Source organism: Homo sapiens, chromosome 19 (assembly GCF_000001405.40).
Source record: "Homo sapiens chromosome 19, GRCh38.p14 Primary Assembly".
Lineage (NCBI taxonomy): Eukaryota > Metazoa > Chordata > Mammalia > Primates > Hominidae > Homo > Homo sapiens.
Window position 1 is genome coordinate 55149855 of NC_000019.10, and position 20244 is coordinate 55170098.

The 20244-nt window shown below is 55.3% G+C and overlaps 2 protein-coding genes, 1 long non-coding RNA gene and 1 other non-coding gene across 12 annotated transcripts, besides 4 other annotated features; 2 read left to right on the forward strand and 2 right to left on the reverse strand.

The window, feature by feature from the left end:
* TNNI3 (troponin I3, cardiac type) lies at positions 1913-7878 on the reverse strand. The gene is made up of 8 exons (NM_000363.5): positions 7725-7878; positions 7442-7454; positions 7196-7279; positions 6749-6790; positions 6347-6478; positions 4887-4976; positions 4176-4352; positions 1913-2063 (listed from the first exon to the last, which is right to left on the reverse strand). Exons 1-8 carry the CDS (start codon positions 7733-7735, stop codon positions 1980-1982), a joined length of 633 nt encoding a protein of 210 aa, NP_000354.4. The 5' UTR covers positions 7736-7878; the 3' UTR covers positions 1913-1979.
* Positions 7069-7656: an enhancer, noted in NCBI's record as "H3K4me1 hESC enhancer chr19:55668291-55668878 (GRCh37/hg19 assembly coordinates)". NCBI's record gives its function as "activates a minimal SCP1, AML or CMV promoter by ChIP-STARR-seq in naive H9 embryonic stem cells {active_cell/tissue: H9 hESC(naive)}" and the evidence as "EXISTENCE:reporter gene assay evidence [ECO:0000049][PMID:30033119]".
* On the reverse strand, positions 8807-16868 carry DNAAF3 (dynein axonemal assembly factor 3). 4 transcript variants are annotated; one of them, NM_178837.4, is made up of 12 exons: positions 16658-16868; positions 16475-16563; positions 16004-16146; positions 15516-15609; positions 12279-12436; positions 11789-11971; positions 11439-11564; positions 11211-11333; positions 10786-10921; positions 10045-10159; positions 9679-9753; positions 8807-9595 (listed from the first exon to the last, which is right to left on the reverse strand). In NM_178837.4, exons 1-12 carry the CDS (start codon positions 16792-16794, stop codon positions 9208-9210), a joined length of 1767 nt encoding a protein of 588 aa, NP_849159.2. In that variant the 5' UTR covers positions 16795-16868; the 3' UTR covers positions 8807-9207. The 4 variants fall into 4 exon arrangements, with proteins under 4 accessions (NP_849159.2, NP_001243643.1, NP_001243644.1 ...); NM_001256714.1 differs by having other exon boundaries at positions 10045-10156; positions 16004-16209; NM_001256715.2 differs by having other exon boundaries at positions 8811-9595; positions 16669-16759.
* Positions 9455-17050, forward strand: DNAAF3-AS1 (DNAAF3 antisense RNA 1). 6 transcript variants are annotated; one of them, XR_007067343.1, is made up of 5 exons: positions 9455-9591; positions 11192-11360; positions 12898-12947; positions 14233-14317; positions 14390-14654. It is a non-coding gene; the product is annotated as a DNAAF3 antisense RNA 1 (long non-coding RNA). The 6 variants fall into 6 exon arrangements; XR_007067344.1 differs by lacking the exons at positions 14233-14317; positions 14390-14654 and adding an exon at positions 15965-17050; XR_007067345.1 differs by lacking the exons at positions 12898-12947; positions 14233-14317; positions 14390-14654 and adding exons at positions 14690-14946; positions 15965-17050.
* Positions 10773-10882: a silencer, noted in NCBI's record as "silent region_11016". NCBI's record gives its function as "represses an Ori minimal core promoter by ATAC-STARR-seq in GM12878 lymphoblastoid cells {active_cell/tissue: GM12878}" and the evidence as "EXISTENCE:reporter gene assay evidence [ECO:0000049][PMID:35858748]".
* Positions 10898-11824: an enhancer, noted in NCBI's record as "H3K27ac-H3K4me1 hESC enhancer chr19:55672120-55673046 (GRCh37/hg19 assembly coordinates)". NCBI's record gives its function as "activates a minimal SCP1, AML or CMV promoter by ChIP-STARR-seq in naive H9 embryonic stem cells {active_cell/tissue: H9 hESC(naive)}" and the evidence as "EXISTENCE:reporter gene assay evidence [ECO:0000049][PMID:30033119]".
* Positions 16139-16370: a silencer, noted in NCBI's record as "fragment chr19:55677361-55677592 (GRCh37/hg19 assembly coordinates)". NCBI's record gives its function as "represses an EF-1alpha promoter that drives an FKBP-Casp9 reporter gene in an ReSE screen in K562 erythroleukemia cells {active_cell/tissue: K562}" and the evidence as "EXISTENCE:reporter gene assay evidence [ECO:0000049][PMID:32094911]".
* Positions 17317-17420, forward strand: LOC124904795 (small nucleolar RNA U13). The gene has a single exon (XR_007067378.1). It is a non-coding gene; the product is annotated as a small nucleolar RNA U13 (small nucleolar RNA).

A 20244-nucleotide genomic window follows, 5' to 3' on the forward strand; every position in this document is an offset into this window, starting at 1 on the left:
ATCTAACGCTGATCTTTTTTGGTATCCCCCTCCCGCTTCCCAGCCAAGCCATGACCTTGAGTTCTAGGTTCAAGCCAGCCCTGGAGAGCAGGCTTCCTCACCCTCCCCGCCTCTCCGTACCTCTGTCTCTGGTGGTCTCGGTCTTTGTGTTTCTGTGCATTTCTCGGGGCCCCTTGCTGGGTCTGTCTTGGGCTCTCTCTGCATCTGTCGCTTTCTGAGCCCCTCAGTGTGTTTCTCGGCATGTGTCTCCGGGTGGTTTTGTCTCTGCATTTCTGTGGGTGTCTCTGCATGTCTGCCCCTCTCAGCGTTTGTGTCTGTGGGGGCTCACAGTCTCTCTGTGCATTTCTGTCCACCTATGACCCCATTTCTGTCTCTTTTTGGCTCTGGGTCTCTGTGTCTGTGTTCACGTCTCTATCTTTCTAGTTCTCTCCATGTCTCTCTTAGTGCCCGCAGTTCCCCCTCTGTGGCTCTCCATTTCCATCTCTTATAGGGTCTCCATGTCTCTGCACCTTGCTGTGAGTATATCTCTGTCTCTCTTTTCTCCTTTCTTTGCACTTCCTTCTATGCATCTTGTGGTATTTTCTCCCTCTCTCTTTGGGTCTTTGCCTGGCTCCTACTCTCTCTACTCCCAACTCAGTCTCTCTGTTGTCGGTCATGTCTCTCTGCCTGTCTGTTTCTCTGTGTCTCTCTCTCTTTGACCTTTAGTCTTGGCATCTCTGTGCACTCCACATGGGCCAGAGGAGCTGTGACAATAGAGATCAGAAGACTGATGGAATGAACTGTTTGTGGCAATAAGATACCAAATTATAAACAAGACCTAAGGCCATGCCAGGCAAGGGTTAAGCCACGCATCCCTACACTTATATAATCGACTATGTTCCAACTGCCACAAGGCTTTTCCTTTTTCTAGCAGCTAAACAAGCACCGGCCTCAAGATAAGCAATATTACAACCATTGCAGCCATCCATTGCCAGATGCTGACTAGCTGAACCCCCTGTTCCACAAGGCATAACTACAGCATTAGTTGAACAAGAGACTGATTTCAGTAACTTTCTCCTGATAAGATGCCGCAGACCACGGACTGGTTCTGGCTGTTGACAGAGGCTGTGCACTGAGTGTCTTCATATCCCTGCTTCGTGTTTCGATACGAATGCATTCAATGGAATGCACTTAAATGTTAAGCCTCCACCACCAAGTGAAGGTGGGATGCATGTAAAATGTGTTTGCGGCCAGTCGCGGTGGCTCACGCCTGTAATCCCAGCACTTTGGGAGGCCAAGGAGGGCGGATCACGAGGTCAGGAAATCGAGACCAGCCTGGCCAACATGGTGAAACCCCGTCTCTACGAAAAACACAAAAATTAGCTGGGCGTGGTGGTGCATGCCTGTAATCCCAGCTACTGGAGAGGCTGAGGCAGGAGAATGGCTTGAACCCAGGACGCAGAGGTTGCAGTGAGCTGAGATCGTGCCACTGCACTCCAGCCTGGGTGACAGAGCAAGACTCCGTCTCAAAAAAAAAAAAAAATGAGTGTTTGCTTGTCACACATGCGTGTGTCCATGTGTCCACCTGTCCATGAATATTCATAGCTCCTTCTATAACCAGTTGAATACGTGCACTTAGCTAACCCACTCAGCATAAATTCCTGCCTTGCCCTTCCCTCCCTTAAAGTGCCTGCTTTTGTTTTTTGGCAAGAAGCCATGCTTCTGGTCTTCAGGTTGTGATCCGCTTCTTAAGAAACAAAGCTCCGCTCTCCAAATTCATGAACCCCGGGATTCTTTTCAATAACACAGCCAAGAGTGCTTCACATGGGAGACCCATCTGGTCCCCAACCTGCTGTGTGGCTTTGGGGGAGCCCCACCTGCAGTCTTCCCATCTGTCTCCTGCCTAAGCCCTGGGTAATAGACATGGAGTCACTTTCAGCTCAGAGAGAAGCTTTATTCCTCAGGGCCCTCCTCAGGGCAGGGGCAGTAGGCAGGAAGGCTCAGCTCTCAAACTTTTTCTTGCGGCCCTCCATTCCACTCAGTGCATCGATGTTCTTGCGCCAGTCTCCCACCTCCCGGTTTTCCTGGAGGATGGCGATGAGTCAGAGGTTAGGGTCTCTTCTTGGTCTCCAGTCTCTCAAGAATCCCTGTCTTCCCTCCAGCCTGTGGGGCCACTCTACCCTGGATGCCTAAGTATCTAGTTCTGGAGCACTTCCTGTCTTTTCAAGATAATCCCTGCCAATTTTCCCCATGCACTTCCTGTCTCCCTCATGCACTTCCTGTCCCCCTCATGCACTTCCTGTCTTTCCCCAGCACTTCCTGTCTCCCTCATGTACTTTCTGTCTTTCCCCATCCACTTCCTGTCTCCCTCATGCACTTCCTGTCTTTCCCCTCCACTTCCTGTCTCCTTCCTGCACTTCCTATCTTTCCCCTCCACTTCCTGTCTGCCTTATGCCCTTCCTGTCTCCTTCCTTCTCTTCTTATTATAGTAGTCCCTCCTTTTCTGCAATTTTACTTTGTGTGGTTTCAGTTACCTGAGGTAAACCATGGCCCAAAAATATTAAATGGAAAATTCCAGAAATAAACAATTCATAAGTTTGATGGATTCTCAGGTCAATAGTAGCCTAACGCCAGGTCATAATGCCTATGTCATCCACCTCACCTCATCTCAGCACATAGGCACTGTCATTTTACATCACAAGGAAAAGAAGGGTGATTACAGTGCTATAAGATATTTTGAGAAAGAGACCACATTCATGAGTTTTATTACAATCTGTTATAATTGTTCTATTTTATTATTATTATTATTTGAGACAGGGTCTGGCTGCCTCATCCAAGCTGGAGTGCAGTCGTGCAATCTCGGCTCACTGCAGCCTCAACTTCCTGGGCTCAAGCCATCCTCTCACCTCAGACTCCTGAGGAGCTGGGACCACAGGTGTGTGCCACCATGCCCAGCTAACTTTTGTTCTGTTTTGTTTTGTTTTGAGATGGAGTCTCCCAGTGTTGCCTGGGCTGGAGTGCAGTGGTGAGATCTCGGCTCACTGCAACCTCTGCCTCCCGGGTTCAAGCAATTCTCCTGCCTCAGCTTCACAAGTAGCTGGGATTACAGGCACCCACGACCACGCCCAGCAAATGTTTGTATTTTTACTACAGGTGGGGTTTCACTGTGTTGGCCAGGCTGGTCTCAAACTCCTGACCTCATGATCCGCCCGCCTTGGCCTCCCAAAGCGCTGGGATTACAGGCACGAGCCACCACACCCGGTAACTTTGGTATTTTTTATAGAGACATGGTCTCGCCATGTTGCCCAGGCTGGTCTCGAACTCCAGAGCTCAAGCAATCTGCCTGCCTTAGCATCCCAAAGTGTTGAGATTACAGGCATGAGCCACCACGCCCAACCTTCTTTTGTTGTTATTTATTGTTAATCTCTTACTGTGTCTAATTTAGAAATGAAACTTTATCATAGGTATGTATGTGTGTATAGGAAAAAAAATTACATATAGGGTTCAGTACAATCCATGGTTTCAGGCATCCACTCCTATCTTTCCTGTCTTCTTCTTTAAGATAGGGTCTCACTGTATTGCCCAGGCTGGAGTGCAGTGGTGCAGTCATAGCTCACTGCACCCTCGATCTCATGGGCTCAAGCGATTTTCCTGCCTCAGCCTCCTGAGAAGCTGCATGCCACCACCGTGACTGGCTAATTTAAAAAAGAAATTTGTAGAAATTAAAACAACAACATGGTGGTGTGCACCTGTAGTCCCAGCTACTCGGGAGGCTGAGGCATGAGAATCACTTGATCCTGGGAGGCAGAGGTTGCAGTGAGCCGAGATGGTGTCACTGCACTCCAGCAACCGAGATGGTGTCATTGCACTCCAGCCTGGGCAGCAGAGACTCCATCGCAAAAAAAAAAAAAAAAGGAAATTAAAAAAAAATTTTTTTTAAACCTCAAAGATTACAGGCATAAGCCACTGCACCTGGACCTTCATGTACCTCTTTGCTCTTACATGGACTTCCTGTAGCCCTAATGCACTTCCTGTCTTCCCCTTCTACTTCCTGTCTTCCTCTTGCATTTCTGAGGACCCCTTACTAGCTGCTTCTACCTCCAACTCCAAGCACCATCTGCCCTCAGGCCTAGGGTTGTTGGCACCCACAGCCCTTCCCCTCAGCATCCTCTTTCCTGGCCTTAGCCCACACTCACCTTCTCGGTGTCCTCCTTCTTCACCTGCTTGAGGTGGGCCCGCAGGTCCAGGGACTCCTTAGCCCGGGCCCCCAGCAGCGCCTGCATCATGGCATCTGCAGAGATCCTCACTCTCCGCAGGGTGGGCCGCTTAAACTTGCCTCGAAGGTCAAAGATCTTCTGAGTCAGATCTGCAATCTGGGGGCACACGAGGGGGTGGGTACTTCTCCTTCCATTTCCCGCACACCCAACTCCTCCATCCTACACTCCTTTTTTATTCTCCTTATCTCGTCTTCCAGTACCGAGGCCTTACCAGTCTCTTCCCGGCTTAGGCTCCCAGTCTAGGCTTCTAATCCTGGAACTGAATCCCCCTCCTCATATGCTCCAGCCTCACCTCTCAAAACCACTGGCATAACCTGGTCCAGCTACATGCAAATCACAATTCCCTGGCCAGTGCCTGAGCTAATTTACCAACATGTGATGCCCTGAGCATGTTCACTAACTTATTTTCTGTTTCCCAACCCATGGCCTTGCATGTGCTGTTCCCTCTGCCTAGAACAGCTTTCCTTGACTATATTGTACTCATCCTTCTGCCCCAGCCCTGCCAGGCTCACAGTTGTCCTGGGTCTCCTGGGATGTGCAGCCAAAAGCAGCTGCAAGGGGTCAGGCAGAGACCAAGTCCCAGCCATCTCACCCTACCCCGAAGGTACCCGAGCTGCCCATGCGTCCCACCTCCGTGATGTTCTTGGTGACTTTTGCCTCTATGTCGTATCTCTCTTCATCCACCTTGTCCACACGGGCGTGGAGCTGTCGGCACAAGTCCTGGAGGAGGAACGTGGTGTGTGTTGTTGGGGGAACCAAAAACAGGGAGACCTGGACTCCTGGGTCTGAGGGAGAAGGGGCTCGGGGCCTGGACTCCTGGGTCTGAGGGAGGAGAAGGGGCTGGGGGCCTGGACTCCTGGGTCTGAGGGAGGAGTTGGGGGCCTGGACTCCTGGGTTTGAGGGAGGAGAAGGGGCTGGGGGCCTGGACTCCTGGGTCTGAGGGAGGAGGGGCTGAGGGCCTCGATTCCAGGGTCTGAGGGAGGAGGGGCTGGGGACTGGACTCCTGGGTCTGAGGGAGGAGGGGCTGGGGACTGGACTCCTGGGTCTGAGGGAGGAGGGGCTGGGGCCTGGACTTCAGGGTCTGAGGGAGGAGGGGCTGGGGACTGGACTCCTGGGTCTGAGGGAGGAGGGGCTGGGGCCTGGACTCCAGGGTCTGAGGGAGGAGGGGCTGGGGCCTGGACTCCAGGGTCTGAGGGAGGAGGAGCTGGGGCCTGGACTCCAGGGTCTGAGGGAGGAGGGGCTGGGGCCTGGACTCCAGGGTCTGAGGGAGGAGAGGCTGGGGCCTGGACTCCAGGGTCTCAGGGAGGAGAGGCTGGGGCCTGGACTCCAGGGTCTGAGGGAGGAGGGGCTGGGGCCTGGACTCCAGGGTCTGAGGGAGGAGGGGCTGGGGACTGGACTCCTGGGTCTGAGGGAGGAGGGGCTGGGGCCTGGACTTCAGGGTCTGAGGGAGGAGGGGCTGGGGCCTGGACTTCAGGGTCTGAGGGAGGAGGGGCTGGGGCCTGGACTTCAGGGTCTGAGGGAGGAGGGGCTGAGGGCCTCGATTCCAGGGTCTGAGGGAGGAGGGGCTGGGGACTGGACTCCTGGGTCTGAGGGAGGAGGGGCTGGGGCCTGGACTCCAGGGTCTGAGGGAGGAGGGGCTGGGGGCCTGGACTCCAGGGTCTGAGGGAGGAGGGGCTGGGGCCTGGACTCCAGGGTCTGAGGGAGGAGGGGCTGGGGCCTGGACTCCAGGGTCTGAGGGAGGAGGGGCTGGGGCCTGGACTTCAGGGTCTCAGGGAGGAGGGGCTGGGGACTGGACTCCTGGGTCTGAGGGAGGAGGGGCTGGGGCCTGGACTCCAGGGTCTGAGGGAGGAGGGGCTGGGGCTTGGGCTTCTGTCTGGGATAGGAGGGCCACATGGTCCTGAAGGAGTAGGTTGGAGCCAAGACTCCACAGACCTGCACACAAAGGGTGTTAGGGGCCAGGAGTCCCACGAACCATATATAATTGGGTAAGGACAGCCATATTGGACGCCTGGGTCCCGAGCAGAAGAGGGGATAGAGGCTGTACTGCTGAATTCCGGGACTAGAAACCTCGCATCCTTGGGAGCCGGTACCTGCAGCTCCGCGAAGCCCAGCCCGGCCAACTCCAGCGGCTGGCAGCGGGTGCTCAGAGCGCGCCCCTTCTCTCCGCGCCGCTCCTCCGCCTCTCGCTCCAGCTCTTGCTTTGCAATCTGCAGCAGCAGAGTCTGCAGAGGGGTGGGAGGGAAGCGCAGCCCACCCGGGGCTTCAGGATAAAGACCAGGCGTGGGGAACCGCCTCTGCCCTTCTAAACCCTCCAGTTTGGTCTCCACTGTTCCAAGGCCCCGTCCCACCCCGAGCAGTACTCCCCGCTAAAGCCACGCCCCGAGCGGCCAAACCCCGCCCACTTCCGCCCACCTACCCCGAAAGCCCCACCCATTCTCAAGCTCCGCCCCCTGAGCACCTGCCTGCTCTTTCCCAGTCCCGCCCGTCCTCACCTTCAGCTGCAATTTTCTCGAGGCGGAGATCTTAGATTTTTTCTGCCAGGGTGAGATGGAGCAAGGAAGGATCATGGAGGGGGATTCGGAGACGACGGTGGAGGGGACCTCAAGACACCCCCAGCAAACCCAGCCGGTCCAGATTTGGGCCCACGTCCAACTTGAGCCCTGAGTCTACGGGAGGCCACGCCCCTCATTCCCATCCACCAATCTGGGTCTCTTCCTTTGGATAGGCACTTCCCATCTATCCCTAAGCAAGTCCGAGGGCAACGGAGTTCCGCCCGCAGGCTGCTGTCACCAATCCGAGCATGACCCTCTGCAAAACTCCGCCCCTGAAGCCCCTCCGCGTAGTCCCCGCCCCCTTCGCAGCCCTGGCTCCTCCCCCCACTCCCAGGGTCTTGGATCCCTCCGGCGCCTGTACTCTGCCCCCAGGAAGCCCCGTCCCACCTTGGCGTGCGGCTCCGTGGCATAAGCGCGGTAGTTGGAGGAGCGGCGTCTGATTGGGGCTGGTGCAGGGCGAGGTTCCCTAGCCTGGGTTAGGAGGAGTGGGGACCCCATCACCACCAAGACCCCACCCAGCCCTTACCGTACCGCACCCTCTGCTAGGGCTGCAGCCTCCCGCCCCAGACCCCTCACTGCAGCGCCCACCCTGGCCCTGGGGGTCCCAGCCACGCCTTAGCCCGCTGCTCTCACCGCATCGCTGCTCCTGGAAGGAGAGAAACCAAGGAGGGGGGTTAGTGGTGGGCTGTGTCCTGTCTCCTAAGGGACCCCTGGAGTCCCCTCTGAACAAGAGGTCGGGGGACCGCGCTTCCCCTTCCTTGGGTTCCAGGAGTCTGACTCGCAAACCCACTTCCTCTCTTCACCCAAGAGTCCCTACGCCTACCTCGCAGGCCAAGGGTCCAGCCTCTCAGCTGCGACCCCTCTTGGGAACCCGGGAGGTCGCCCCCAACTCCCACTGCCTTGGGGCATCACTCACCCATCCGCCATGCTGAGACTCAGGCCGGGAATGGCAGGAGGCAGGGCGAGGACAGGGGCGTTTGGAGGGTCAGTGAGGGGGCCGCCCGGGTGACCTTCAGGGTCCCAGGGACCGTCAGTCTCCTCCGGGCTGCTTGAGACTCCCCGAGGACACTGAGATAAAGGGCGAGGACACAGACTAAATATACTGTCACCTCCTCCTCCCCCTGCCCACTATGCCAGATAACGGGGGCGCGTGAGGGGCGGGGTGGGCCCTGCTCCAGCTGGATCACCAGCCACCTCCGGGCACAGGAATCCGGACCCTCCTCCCTCTGATCCTGGAGTCCTAGACCCCTCCTCCCTCAGACCCAGAGAATGCCCGACCTCCCAACCTCCTCCTCCCTCAGTCCCAGGACCCTGGGAGACCCTGGCCACTCCCTCACACAAGGAGTCCAGGCCCCCAGCCCCCTTTTCCCTCAGACTCAAGTGTCTGGGCCCCCAGCTCCTCTTCCCTCAGACCCAAGAGTCCAGGCCCCCAGCCCCTCCTCCCTCAGACCCAAGAGTCCAGGCCCCCAGCTCCTCTTCCCTCAGACCCAAGAGTCCAGGCCCCAGCCCCTCCTCCCTCAGACCCAAGAGTCCAGGCCCCAGCCCCTCCTCCCTCAGACCCAGGAGTCCAGGCCCCCAGCCCCTCCTCCCTCAGACCCAGGGGTCCAGGCCCCCAGCCCCTCCCTCAGACAAGGGAGTCCAGGCAGGCCCCCAGCACACTTCCTCTCTCAGACTCAAGAGTCTGCACCCTCAGCTCCTCCTCCCTCAGACCAGGAGTCCAGGACCCCAATCCCTCTCCCCTCAGACCGAGGAGTCCAGGACCCCAATCCCTCTCCCCTCAGACCCAGGAGTCCAGGCCACTCAATAAATGTTGTTGATTAATTTGAGGATGCAGCTGTGCTCGGGGCTAGCTCTCAGTCAATAGCACTGGGAAATCCATCCCTCGTCCACTTGGAAACCCAGGAATCTGGTTTCTGGCTTCCTCTGTCCAGCACTCCTGGGCCTTTCTCTCCCAGCCCTGGAGACGGACATAGGACAGGAAAGACGCTTGGACACACAGAAGGGTGGACACAACTTGCTTTACTTGAACCATCTGGGTGCTGACCAGGCCCTGGTGAGGAGACACCCCAGCCCCTAGTCAGCCACAGGGTGCCTGGGAACAAGGGGGCCAAAGTCAAGGGCCTGAGACTCAGTGTCAGATCCTAGGCTGGGCTTAGAGCCTCAGAAGTGGAATTTGGAATTCTGAGAGAACAATCTAGAATTCTAGGAATAGACCATAGAATCTCAGAAATGGAATTTGAAAGTCTACCAACACTCCCGGGGTGGGGGTGGCGGGTACTGAGTGGGAATGATTAGAATAAAATTGAGGACTCTAGCAGCGGACTTAGAATGGTATCAGCGGGTTCTCATCCTACAACCTGACTTTGGAAGTTGGAGATAAGGGGTGTCTAGGGGTTGGGTCAGACTCCAGTTTTGGAGTCTGACTCACAGTTGGGCGGAGCCAAGGCCCCCTGAGGCTGAGCCAGAACCTCTGAGAGTGAACCTGGAGACTCAGAGGGCAGCTGGCAGGGCTCACAGTGTGGGGTCCCACCCTGCAGAGGCTGGGTCAGGCCCTCAAGGGCTGGGTTGCTGGCTTCAAGAGGCTGGGCCAGGATGTCAAGGGGCGGAGTTCCGGGTTCCACAGCTGGGACAGTGTTGCCCAGAGCTGATTCCTGGGACTTGCAGAAACGTGCGAAGGTCTCTGAAGGCCTGGCCCCGGTCTGTGGAGCAAATCCAGCTGCCTGAGCTAGCTCCCTGACCCGGGTGTTGAATCCCTGCAGCTGCTCCTGCCGCACGTCCACCAGGTACCTGCAGATGGGAAGCGCCCTGTCAGGGACCCAGATTTTGATCCCCAGCCAGGATGTTCCCCACCCTCCACCCCACTGACTCACCGGGCTAATTCCACAATCAAGTTCCCTCCGGGTGCCACACAGGCCCCAAGCTCAGGGATGAGAAGATGGACCATACTGCAGAGAGGACGGAGGACAGGCTGAGATTCAGCTCCAAATCCGGAGGGAGGATGGGGCTCTGGGATCCCAGACAATGAGGGAGGAGGGGTGGCAAAACTGGAGTCTGGGTCCTGGGGAAAGAAGGGAGCAGGAGGTCTGGACTCCTGGGTCTGAGGGAGGAGGGGCTGGGGGCCTGGACCCCTGGGTCTAAGCAAGGAGGGGCTGGGGGCCTGGACTCCTGGGTCTGAGGGAGGAGGGGCTGGGGGCCTGATCCTGGGTCTTTGTGAGCACAGCTGCCTCCCCGCTTACCCACAGGCCACATAGAGGAGCTGGAATCGGCCGTTGTAGCAGCTCTTGTGGTGGAGAGTCTGAGCAGAATTGAGCGGCAGGAAGTGGACGGTGAAAGATTCCGGGGTCGGGGCTGCTGGGGGAAGGGGATAGAGGGGTCACCTCTGACAGGCGGAGCCATAAGGGCGGAAAACCAGAGAGATACACAGAGCTGGGCAGAGCTGGGCAGGCACACAGGACTTGGAGATAACACTTTTTGTCCTCTTGCAGCTTTTTAAAAAATCCTCTAAGGTAGGCTCCTGGAAAGTTCTGGGAAGGTCAGCCTGGCAGGCAGAGACTCACTGTACAGATCAGGCAACTGAGACTCTAGAGAGGGAAAGAGGGTGGGTGGCCAGGGCCACATGTGACATGCCCTGTCAGACAGACACGCAGGGAGGGCCAGGTTGGAGGATGGCTGGAAGGAGGCCCAGCCAGGATCCAGGGTGTGGGAGGCTGTCCAAGGGGGAGCTGGGACCCAGCACCCTGTGAGAATATTCTTGGATAGCTTAGCCCTCTGCAGATAAGATTAGAATTCTGCTAGTGGAATTCAGAATTCTAAGCATGCTCTCAGAATTTAGGAAAGGGAGAGAAAGAGAGAAAAAGAGACAGAATATCAAGAAGCCGTCACTTGCCCAGGCATTCCAAATCATGTCAGTCCACACTCCAGTGTGAAACACCTGGAGGCTGGAGTCCCTGGCTTACCTGTTGTTGTCCCTGGCTTACCTGGAGTCCCTGGCTCCGGGCTTCCCTCCGCGTGCTGCTGCTCCTCCAGGTCCCCCCCGGTGGCTCTCGCGCGCCCCCAGGCGGCCACGTCGCGGAGCAGCTCCGTCACGTTGTGTTGAGTGATCTCCCCGGCCGTCTAACAGTAGAAGGGGCGTGGCCAGACGTCGGGGCCAGGATGGCGGGGCGGGGCTTAGAACGCTGGGAGTCCTCGGTCCAGGACTAGAACTCCCGCAGCTGCTTGGAGGATGTGAAGTGGGGCGGGACCTATCCCGCGGGGATGGGGCCTGTTCTCTGAATGGAGTCGTTCCCACCAAGCGACGGGCGGGGTCTGGAGCTGGGGGCGGGGCCTGCTGTGGGGGCGGGGCCTTGCGCACCCACCGACCCCCAGCCCCACCTCTACCCCCAGTCCCAGCCTCGCCGCGCACCTTGACTGGCTGGCCGTTGCTCGTCCGCAGGAGGCTCTCGTCGTCCGCTTCGATGCCGAAGGCCACGAAGGGCCCCGTGGCGATGTCCCCCCAGTACCCGCGCGCTGCCACGCGCTCCCCACGCTGGAAAAGGAGGGAGAGAGGAGGCAGGTGAGGTCGATGTTGGGGCCCCTGACTCCTAGGACTCCGAGCAGCAGCAGTGGGCCAGGACAGGCAGTGGACACGCACGTAGCTCAGGAGGCGACCGGACGCCAGGGTCCGGTTGGGCACATGATAGGCGCTGGAGTCCCTGAGTTCAAAGGCGACGCCTGTGTCCCGCCAGCGTCGGAACTCCTGGGGGTGAATGACTTGAGCCTGGGGTGGGGGGCGGGAAGAAGGGAGCCCTCAGTGAACCGAGCGTGGAGAGACCCCTACACCAGCCTCCCTCAGACCCAGGAGTCCAGGTCCCCAGGCCCTCCTCCCTCAGACCCAGGAGTTCAGGCCCCCAAACCCTCCTCCCTCAGACTCAGGAGGCCCCCAGCCCCTCCTCCCTCAGACCCAGGGGTCCAGGCCCCCAGCCCCTCTCCTGGGCCCCTCACCCCGCGGTCATGCAGCTTCATGCGCAGGTCCCAGTCGCTGACACCGCGCCGGGCGTCGTAGCGGGAGCCCAGGTAGTGGCGCAGGCGCGAGTCCCAGAGGCGGCTCATGGGGAACGCCTGGGGCCCTTTCTCGCCGCCAGCCCAGAAGCGGAATACGGCCTCCAGGGCATCCCGCTCGCGGAACTGCGGGGCCAGGCACGCGGTGGGACAGAGGAAGGCAGAGAGGGATGCAGGGAGAGCGGATTCTAATTGACCCTCTCTTCCATCCCAGAACAGGGGAACGATTCCCCCGTTTCTCGGATGGAAAAACTGAGGCTCCGAAAGCAGAAGCCACCTCCTGCCCCCAGGCCAAATCCCACAGTGGGAGTCGGGGAACTGGGATTCGAACCCCCTAGCCCGCCGCCTGCTCCATCAACGCACGTCCTTTGGACTGTGCGCTTCCATTATTCCCGCGGCCACCCGATCCCAGATGGAGGCCGGGCGGCGGCACCTTGAGGGCGCGGAGGCTGAGCCAGGGCAGCTGTTCCTCCAGGCGGTCGGGCTCGGGGACCAGGTGCGCCAGCAGGTCGGCCTGGGCACGCACGAAGGCGGCCACTGGCGGGCGCAGCAGCGCGTTCCCCCACACTTCCAGGAAGGTCTCGCTTCGCTCTACGGAGAGAGGGAGATAATTGCGGGAATGTGTGGAGGAGGGAGCCCAGAAATTACACCCTTAATATGTTATTATGTCATAGTCATCTAATGAAAACAATGAACCCCCGCAAACTCCCCACGCATCCCAAAAACTACATGAAGAACAGGGCCGGACATGGTGGCGGGCGCCTGTAATCCCAGTTACTCGGGAGGCTGAGGCAGGAGAATCGCTTGAACCCGGAGGCGGAGGTTGCAATGGGCCGAGATCATGCCATTGCACTCCAGCCTGGGCAACAGAGTGAGACTCCGCCTCTAAAATAAATAAATAAATAACCACCTAGAAGAGGGAATTAGAGTTGCAGATTCCACACTCACCGCAGACAGAGAATATTTGGGGGAAAAGATAACAACACAACAGTAAAAAATAATACAAATTGTAAAATATGGTGTAAGCATTTACATTGTATTACATATTATAGGTAATCTAGAGATGATTTGCGGTGTATGGGACCATGTGTACAGGCTATTTGTAAGTACATCTTTTTTGTTTTGAGACAGTGTCTCACTCTGTTGCCCAGGCTGAATGCAGTTGTGCCATCATAGTTCACTGTTACCTCGACCACCTGAGCTTAAGGGACCCTCCTCCTCCAGCTTCCCAGCTAGCTGGGGCTAGGCATTAGCTACCACACCCAGCTAATGTTTTATTTCTTTTTCTTTTCTTTTTCTTTTTTTTTTTTTTTTTTTTTTTTTTTTTTGAGACGGAGTCTCGCTCTGTCGCCTAGACTGTAGTGCAGTGGCGCGATCCCGGCTCACTGCAAGCTCCGCCTCCCGGGTTCACGCCATTCTTCTGCCTCAGCCTCCGGAGTAGCTGGGACTACAAGCGCCCGCCACCACACCCGGCTAATTTTTTGTATTTTTAGTAGAGACGGGGTTTCACGTGTTAGCCAGGATGGTCTCGATCTCCTGACCTCGTGATCCACCCGCCTCAGCCTCCCAAAGTGCTGGGATTACAGGCGTGAGCCATCGCGCCCGGCGGCTAATTTTTTTTTTTTTTTTTTTGTATTTTTAGTAGAGACGGGGTTTCACCGTGTTAGCCAGGATGGTCTCGATCTCCTGACCTCGTGATCTGCCTGCCTCGGTCTCCCAAAGTGCTGGGATTACAGGCGTGAGCCACCGCGCCCGGCCAATATTTTATTTCTTGTAGAGACGGGGTCTCACTATGTTGACCAGGCCAGTCTCAAACTCGTGGTCTCAAGCAGTCCTCCCACCTCAGGCTCCCAAAGTGTTAGGATTACAGGCGTGAGCCACCGCCCCTGGCAATACTATACAATTTTATAAGGGACTTGAGCATCCTTGGATCTTGGTATCTGCAGGGGTCCTGGAACCAGTCCCCAGTGTTACTGAGGGATGACTGTATATACCTTTGCATATAATATATATACACATAGACATACAAATAGTTTCATGTTAGTTGTTTAAGAACTTAATAGAAGAGAACTATGTGCCTTTAGTAAAATAGATCAGTTTAGTTCTAACTGTTTAAGAACTTTGAACAATCTGTACTGTGCAATGTACTCTGAATTCCCTGGGTCATTAATGACTGATATGGTTTGGATCTGTGTCCCTGCTTAAATCTCATGTTGAATTGTAATCCCCAATATTGGAGGCGGGGCCTGGTGGGAGGTGATTGGGTCACAGGGGCAGATTTCTCCCTTGCTGTTCTCGTGATAGTGAGTTCCCACAAAATCTGGTTATTTGCAAGTGTGCGCCTCTTCCCCACTGCCTCTCTTGCCCCTTTTCCTGCCGTGGAACAGATGCCTGCATCCCCTTCGCCTCCTGTCATGATTGTAAGTTTCCTGAGGCCTTCCCAGCCATACTCCCTGTACAGCCTGTGGAACTGTGAGTCAATTAAACCTCTTTTCTTGGGGCCGGGTGTGATCGCACCCGCCTGTAAACCTAGCACTTTGGCAGGCCAAGGCGGGCGGATCACCTGAGGTCAGCATCTCGAGACCATCCTGGCCAACATGGTGAAACCCCGGCTCTACTAAAAATACAAAACCTTAGCCGGGCATGGTGGTGCATGCCTGTAATCCCAGCTACTTGGGAGACTGAGGCAGGAGAATTGCTTGAATCCAGGAGGCAGAGGTTATGGAGAGCCAAGATCGTGCCATTGCACTCCAATCTGGGCAACGGGACAAGACTCTGCCTCAAATAAATAAATAAATAAACAAACAAACCTGTTTTCTTTTTCTTTCTTTCTTTTTTTTTTAGATGGAGGTTTTGCTTTTGTCGCCCAGGCTGGAGTGCAGTGGTGTGATCTCGGCTCACTGCAACCTCTGCCTCCCGGGTTCAAGTGATTCTCCTGCTTCAGCCTCCCGAGTAGCTGGGACTACAGGCGCCTGCCACCACACCCGGCTAATTGTTGTATGTTTAGTAGAGACGGGGTTTCACCATGTTGAGCAGGATGGTCTCGATCTCCTGACCTCGTGATCTGCCCACCTCAGCCTCCCAAAGTGCTGGGATTACAGGTGTGAACCACTGCACCCAGCCTCTCCTGGAATTTTCTAAGTGGCTCTAAGATGTATTATATTTAGCCCCATTTTACAGGTAGGAGGAGCTGAGGCTCTAAGATGGCAAATTACATCAGAGGGGACCATCATCAATAAATATATTGGATTTTTTTTTTCATCAGAGGTACCACACTGGAAAATACCAAACATTTTTGGTTTTTAGATGGAGTTTCGCTCTCTTTTTTTTTTTTTTTTTTTTTTTTTTGAGACGGAGTCTCGCTCTGTCACCCTGGCTGGAGTGCAGTGGCGCGATCTCAGCTCACTGCAAGCTCCGCCTGCCGGGTTCACGCCATTCTCCTGCCTCGGCCTCCCAAAGTGCTGGGATTAACAGGCGTGAGCCACCGCGCCCGGCCGGAGTTTCGCTCTTGTTGCCTAGGCTGGAGTGCAATGGCGCGATCTCGGCTCACTGTAACCTCCGCCTCCCAGGAAAATAACCAAACTTTTTAATTGTACCATTGAAATGCCAGAATCCCTCTAGGGAGGGGGAGGAGACCAGCGGTCAGAATGCCTGGGTCCTAGCAACAGACCTTGCAGCCCCATCTTCTCCGGTTCCTCCAGGGCTAGGCTGAAGATCAGCATGTGTCGGGCCACAGCTTCCAGATTATTCTCCAGCACAAAGAACTAGAAGGATGGACAGGGCAGAATAATTCTGAGACCTGTTTGCCTGGGTCCTAGGAGACCCAGGAGAGCAGGCCCTCAGCTCTCTCCTTCCACACACCCGAGTTCTGTACACCAGCCTCTTCCTTCAAACACAGAAGTCTGTGTCCCCAGAGCTCTCTTCCCTTCCATTACTCAGAAGACCTCATCCTCGAGCTCTTCCCCACTATAGAACCCAGGAGTTCCAAACCCCAGCCCCTTCCTTCCCCCAAGACGCATCGGTTCGCTCCCAGCTTCTGCCTCCCTCAGATCTAGGAGTCTCCAGCCCCTTCATTCCTGGACCTGAGGTTTTAGAATTTCAATCCCTTCCTCCCTCAAGGACTCGGGAATCTGGGCTCTCATCTTCATCCCAGCTCACGTTGAACCTCCTGCGAGGCCAGAACTTCGCTCGGGACAGGGTCCGCAGCAGGTGCCGTCCATCCACAGAGCCCAGAAGCAGCACATCTAGCTCGGGGTTGCTGTGCACTGTATCGGCCTGGGAGTCTGGGTCCACAGGAGGACCTGGCAAGATGACAGCTGGCTGGGGCACCATGGTGGTTGGCAGAGCGTCCACCGTAGCATCCCCTATAAAAAATGGACTACAAATCCCAGTAGGCGTTCCGCCCGTGGCCTAGGTTCTAAGGGGAGGTGTTTCCTCTGAGTATTCTGGGATTCGCAGTCCGCAGACAGGACCTCGGGGCTGCCCCTGGGAGCGCGCCCTCTGCCGCTGGAGCGTTGGAGAACGTTAGCGCCCCCCTTGCCACCGACGCTGGGACTACGAGCTCTAAAAGGCCGTCTGCTCAGGCTGGGAAGGCAGACGGTGTATCAGACCTTGCGTGCTGGGACTCACTTTCAGCCTGCAGGTCCAGCGCCGGGGACAGGCCCCACCAGGACACGGAGCCGAAGCCGCTGCCGGAGCCGGCAGGTGTGGTCATCACCCTGCGGAAAAGACATTCTGGGAATCGCACACATTGCCCGCCCCGCTCCCCTCTCACCGCCCCTCACTTCTCGCCCCTTTGCCTCCACATGATACCTTGCCCACACCTTTATCCTCCAAATATCCCGGGACGCCCCTTCCTCTCTGCTCAGTGCAGCACTGTGGACCCGCGGCACTCCACAACCGCTGCCCAGAGTCCCCGCCCTTTTCGAGGAATCAAGCAATGGAAGCATGTGGGATGGGACCACAGCGAGCAACTGACCAATGAGAGTGAGCGAGGCCCGCCCTCTACAAACTTTTGGCCAATGGGAGCACTGAGGGCCAGCCTTCCCCCACACCTAGGAGAAGAGGGCGTGTGGACGCGGTTGTCATGACGACGGCGCCGGCGGGGGAAGGGGCGGTGCTAGAACAGGTTGGGGCGGAGTCAGGGTCGGTCCAAATTTCTGGAATGGGGGAGGCCTGGGCTGATTAAAATTGAGAGTGAAGGGAGCTTAATCTTATTTCTTGTTTTTTGTTTTTTTGTTTTCTTCATATGCCTTTGCTCATACGTAACGGAATTTTCATCAATTCAAATAAAGTGAAGTGTCTAGACTTTAGATGGCAGGCTTCTGAGCCCGCTCCCCGCCCCAGCACAACGTGGGCTCTACCACACAGAACAGCCCACAGGTGGGACACTGATGTGCAGGTCATTAAAAATTCAGGGATTTGTGAGCTGGTTATTGTTACACGAAGCCATAATTTAAACTTACAGCTAGATCCTTTTGTAGTTTCTAAGCGGGATGATTGGGTGTTCACGCGCATGCGTGAGATGTGCCTCCCTCAAACCTTGTTACGACATCGGCACATTACTCTTCTGACATGAACAAAAAAATTACAGGTAAATTCTGTAATCGTACAGTTAAATCAACTGCATTAAAATAAGGGTAAGTCGGCCGGGCGCTGTGGCCACGCCTGTGATCCCAACACTTTGGGAGGTCAAGGTGGGCAGATAACTTGAGGTCAGAAGTTGGAGACCAGTCTGGCCAACATGGTGAAACCGCGCCTCGACCTTAAAAAATACAAAAATTAACCGGGCGTGGTGGCACGCACCTGTAATCCCAGCTACTCCGGAGGCTGAGGCAGGAGAGTCTGTTGAACCTGGGAGGCAGAGGTTGCAGTGAACTGAGATCGCGCCTCTGAACTCCAGCCTGGGCGACAGAGCAAGACTCTGTCTCAAAAAAAAAAAAAAGAAAAACCAAAGTCTGAATGAGGCACATCTCTAGATCACCCCAGCACCCAGCACTGGGCTCAGCGCCCAAGGGGACTTGGCTCTCTGCCTCCTCTCCTTGCCCAGACACATGAGCTTAGACCAGTCACCCTTTCTGAGCCTCAGTCTGCTGCTCTGTGAAATGGGAATGTAGCGTGCAGCGGGCAGAGGTGCAGCGGATCTGCCTCCTGAGGGCAGATCTGGGCACTGGGAAGACAATACCTACTGGGGAAACGAAGGTTGAGACCTCAGACATTCCTGCAGAATCAGGCTGGCTAACCAGCCCCTTCCAGGCCAGCTCTAAGCCTGCAAGAGCCCCAGATCCTGGGTTTCTCTCTGGAGAATTAATGCCTTTCCTCCCTATTTCTCCCACTCTCCCAACAAATTCTCAGCAAAGGAACCAGAGTGACATTTTTTTTTTTTGAGATGGAGTCTTGCTGTGACACCCAGGCTGGAGTGCAGTGGCGCGATCTCGGCTCACTGAAACCTCCGCCTCCCGGGTTCAAGCGATTCTCCTGTCCCAGCCTCCCAGGTAGCTGGGACTACAGGCATTTGCCACCACACCAGCTAATTTTTGTATTTGTATTTTATTTTGTGTATATATATATATATACACACACAAAATAAAATACAAATATATGTATATATATTTATATATACACAAAATAAAATACAAATATTTTGTATATATATACAAAATAAAATACAAATATACATATATATACATATATATATATATATATATAGAGAGAGAGAGAGAGAGAGAGAGAGAGAGAGAGTTTCACTCTTGTTGCCCAGGCTGGAGTGCAATGGCGCGATCTCGGCTCACCGCAACCTCCGCCTCCCGGGTTCAAGCCATTCTTCTGCCTCAGCCTCCCGAGTAGCTGGGATTACAGGCAGGCGCCAGGACGCCCGGCTAATTTTGTATTTTTTGTAGAGACAGGGTTTCTCCGTGTTGGTCAGGCTGGTCTCCAACTCACGACCTCAGGTGATCTGCCCGCCTTGGTCTCTCAAAGTGTTGGGATTACAGGTGTGAACCACCGAGCCAGGCGATTTATTTATTTATTATTTTTTTTTTAGAGACGGAGTCTTGCTCTGTCGCCCAGGCTGGAGTGCAGTGGCACGATCTTGGCTCACTGCAACCTCCGCTTCCCGGGTTCTAGCAATTCTCCTGCCTCAGCCTCCCAAGTAGCTGGGATTACAGGCGCACGCTGCCACGCCCAGCTAATTTTTTGTATTTTAGTAGAGACGAGGTTTCACCGTGTTGCCCAGGCTGGTCTCGAATTCCTGAGCTCAGGCAATCCACCTGCCTTGGCCTCCCAAAGCGCTAGGATTACAGGCGTGAGCCACCGTGCCCAGCTCCAGCGATTCTTTTTTATTTTTAGTAGAGACGGGGTTTCACCATGTTAGCCAGGCTGGTCTCGAACTCCTGACTTCAAGAGTTCCGCCGGCCTCAGCCTCCCAAAGTGCTGGAATTACCGGTGTGAGCCACTGCACCTGGCCCAGAGTGATCTTAAACATAAATCAAATAATGTCTCCCACCTCTTCAAATCCTCCAAAGTCTTCCCGCTGCACCTGGACACATTCCCCGCTCCTTAGCTTGGCTCCCTATGCCCTATGCAATCTGCAGTCATCCACCCCTGAAGCCACATCAGCCTCCTGGCTCCTTGGAGAACACACCAAGCCGTTTGAACCCCAGGGCCTTTGCAACTTGGGATTCTTTTGCCTTAAATTATCTTCCCCCTCATCTTTGTTTTCTATATATTTATTTTTGAGACAAAGTCTTGCTCTGTTATCCAGACTTGAGTTCAGTGGTGTGATCATAGCTCACTGCAGCCTCAACCTCTCAGGCTCAAGCAGTCCTCCCACCTCAGTCCCCTGAGTAGCTGGGACCACAGGCAAGTGCCGCCATGCCCGGATATTTATTTATTTATTTATGTAGAGAAAGGGTCTCACTAGTTGCCCAGGCTGTTATTTATTTACTTATTTGAGATGGAGTTTCACTCTTGTTGCCCAGGTTGGAGTGCAATGGCGCTATCTCGGCTCACTGCAACGTCCACCTGCCGGGTTCAAGCCATTCTCCTGCCTCAGCCTCCTGAGTAGCTGGGACTACAGGCATGTGCCATCACGCCCAGCTAATTTTGTATTTTTAGTAGAGACAGGGTTTCTCCGTGTTGGTCAGGCTGGTCTCAAACTCCCGACCTCAAGTGATCCGCCGGCCTTGGCCTCCCAAAATTCTGAGATTACAGGCGTGAGCCACTGCGCCCGGCTGTATTTATTTATTTATTTATTTAAGGCAGGGACTTGCTCTGTTGCCTAGGCTGGAGTACTCCAGCCTGAAACTCCTGGGCTCAATCGATCCTCCCACCTCTGCTCCCCAAGTAGCTAGAACTATAGCCACGTGCCAGCATACCTAGCTAACTTTACAAATTTTAAA

What these genes read in the sequence shown, in the direction of transcription:
- TNNI3 (NM_000363.5), bottom strand. An exon ending in CCACGGAGCCGCACGCCAAG is followed by an intron (nt 6,791 to 7,195) that starts GTGGGACGGGGC and finishes TCACCCTGGCAG; the next exon opens with AAAAAATCTAAGATCTCCGC. An exon ending in CGAGAAAATTGCAGCTGAAG is followed by an intron (nt 6,479 to 6,748) that starts GTGAGGACGGGC and finishes ACCCCTCTGCAG; the next exon opens with ACTCTGCTGCTGCAGATTGC.
- DNAAF3 (NM_001256714.1), bottom strand. Translation starts at nt 16,794, where the DNA reads ATGCTTCCATTGCTTGATTCCTCGAAAAGGGCGGGGACTCTGGGCAGC. An exon ending in GGAGAAGATGGGGCTGCAAG is followed by an intron (nt 12,437 to 15,515) that starts GTCTGTTGCTAG and finishes CTCTCTCCGTAG; the next exon opens with AGCGAAGCGAGACCTTCCTG. An exon ending in TTGATTGTGGAATTAGCCCG is followed by an intron (nt 9,596 to 9,678) that starts GTGAGTCAGTGG and finishes TCCCATCTGCAG; the next exon opens with GTACCTGGTGGACGTGCGGC.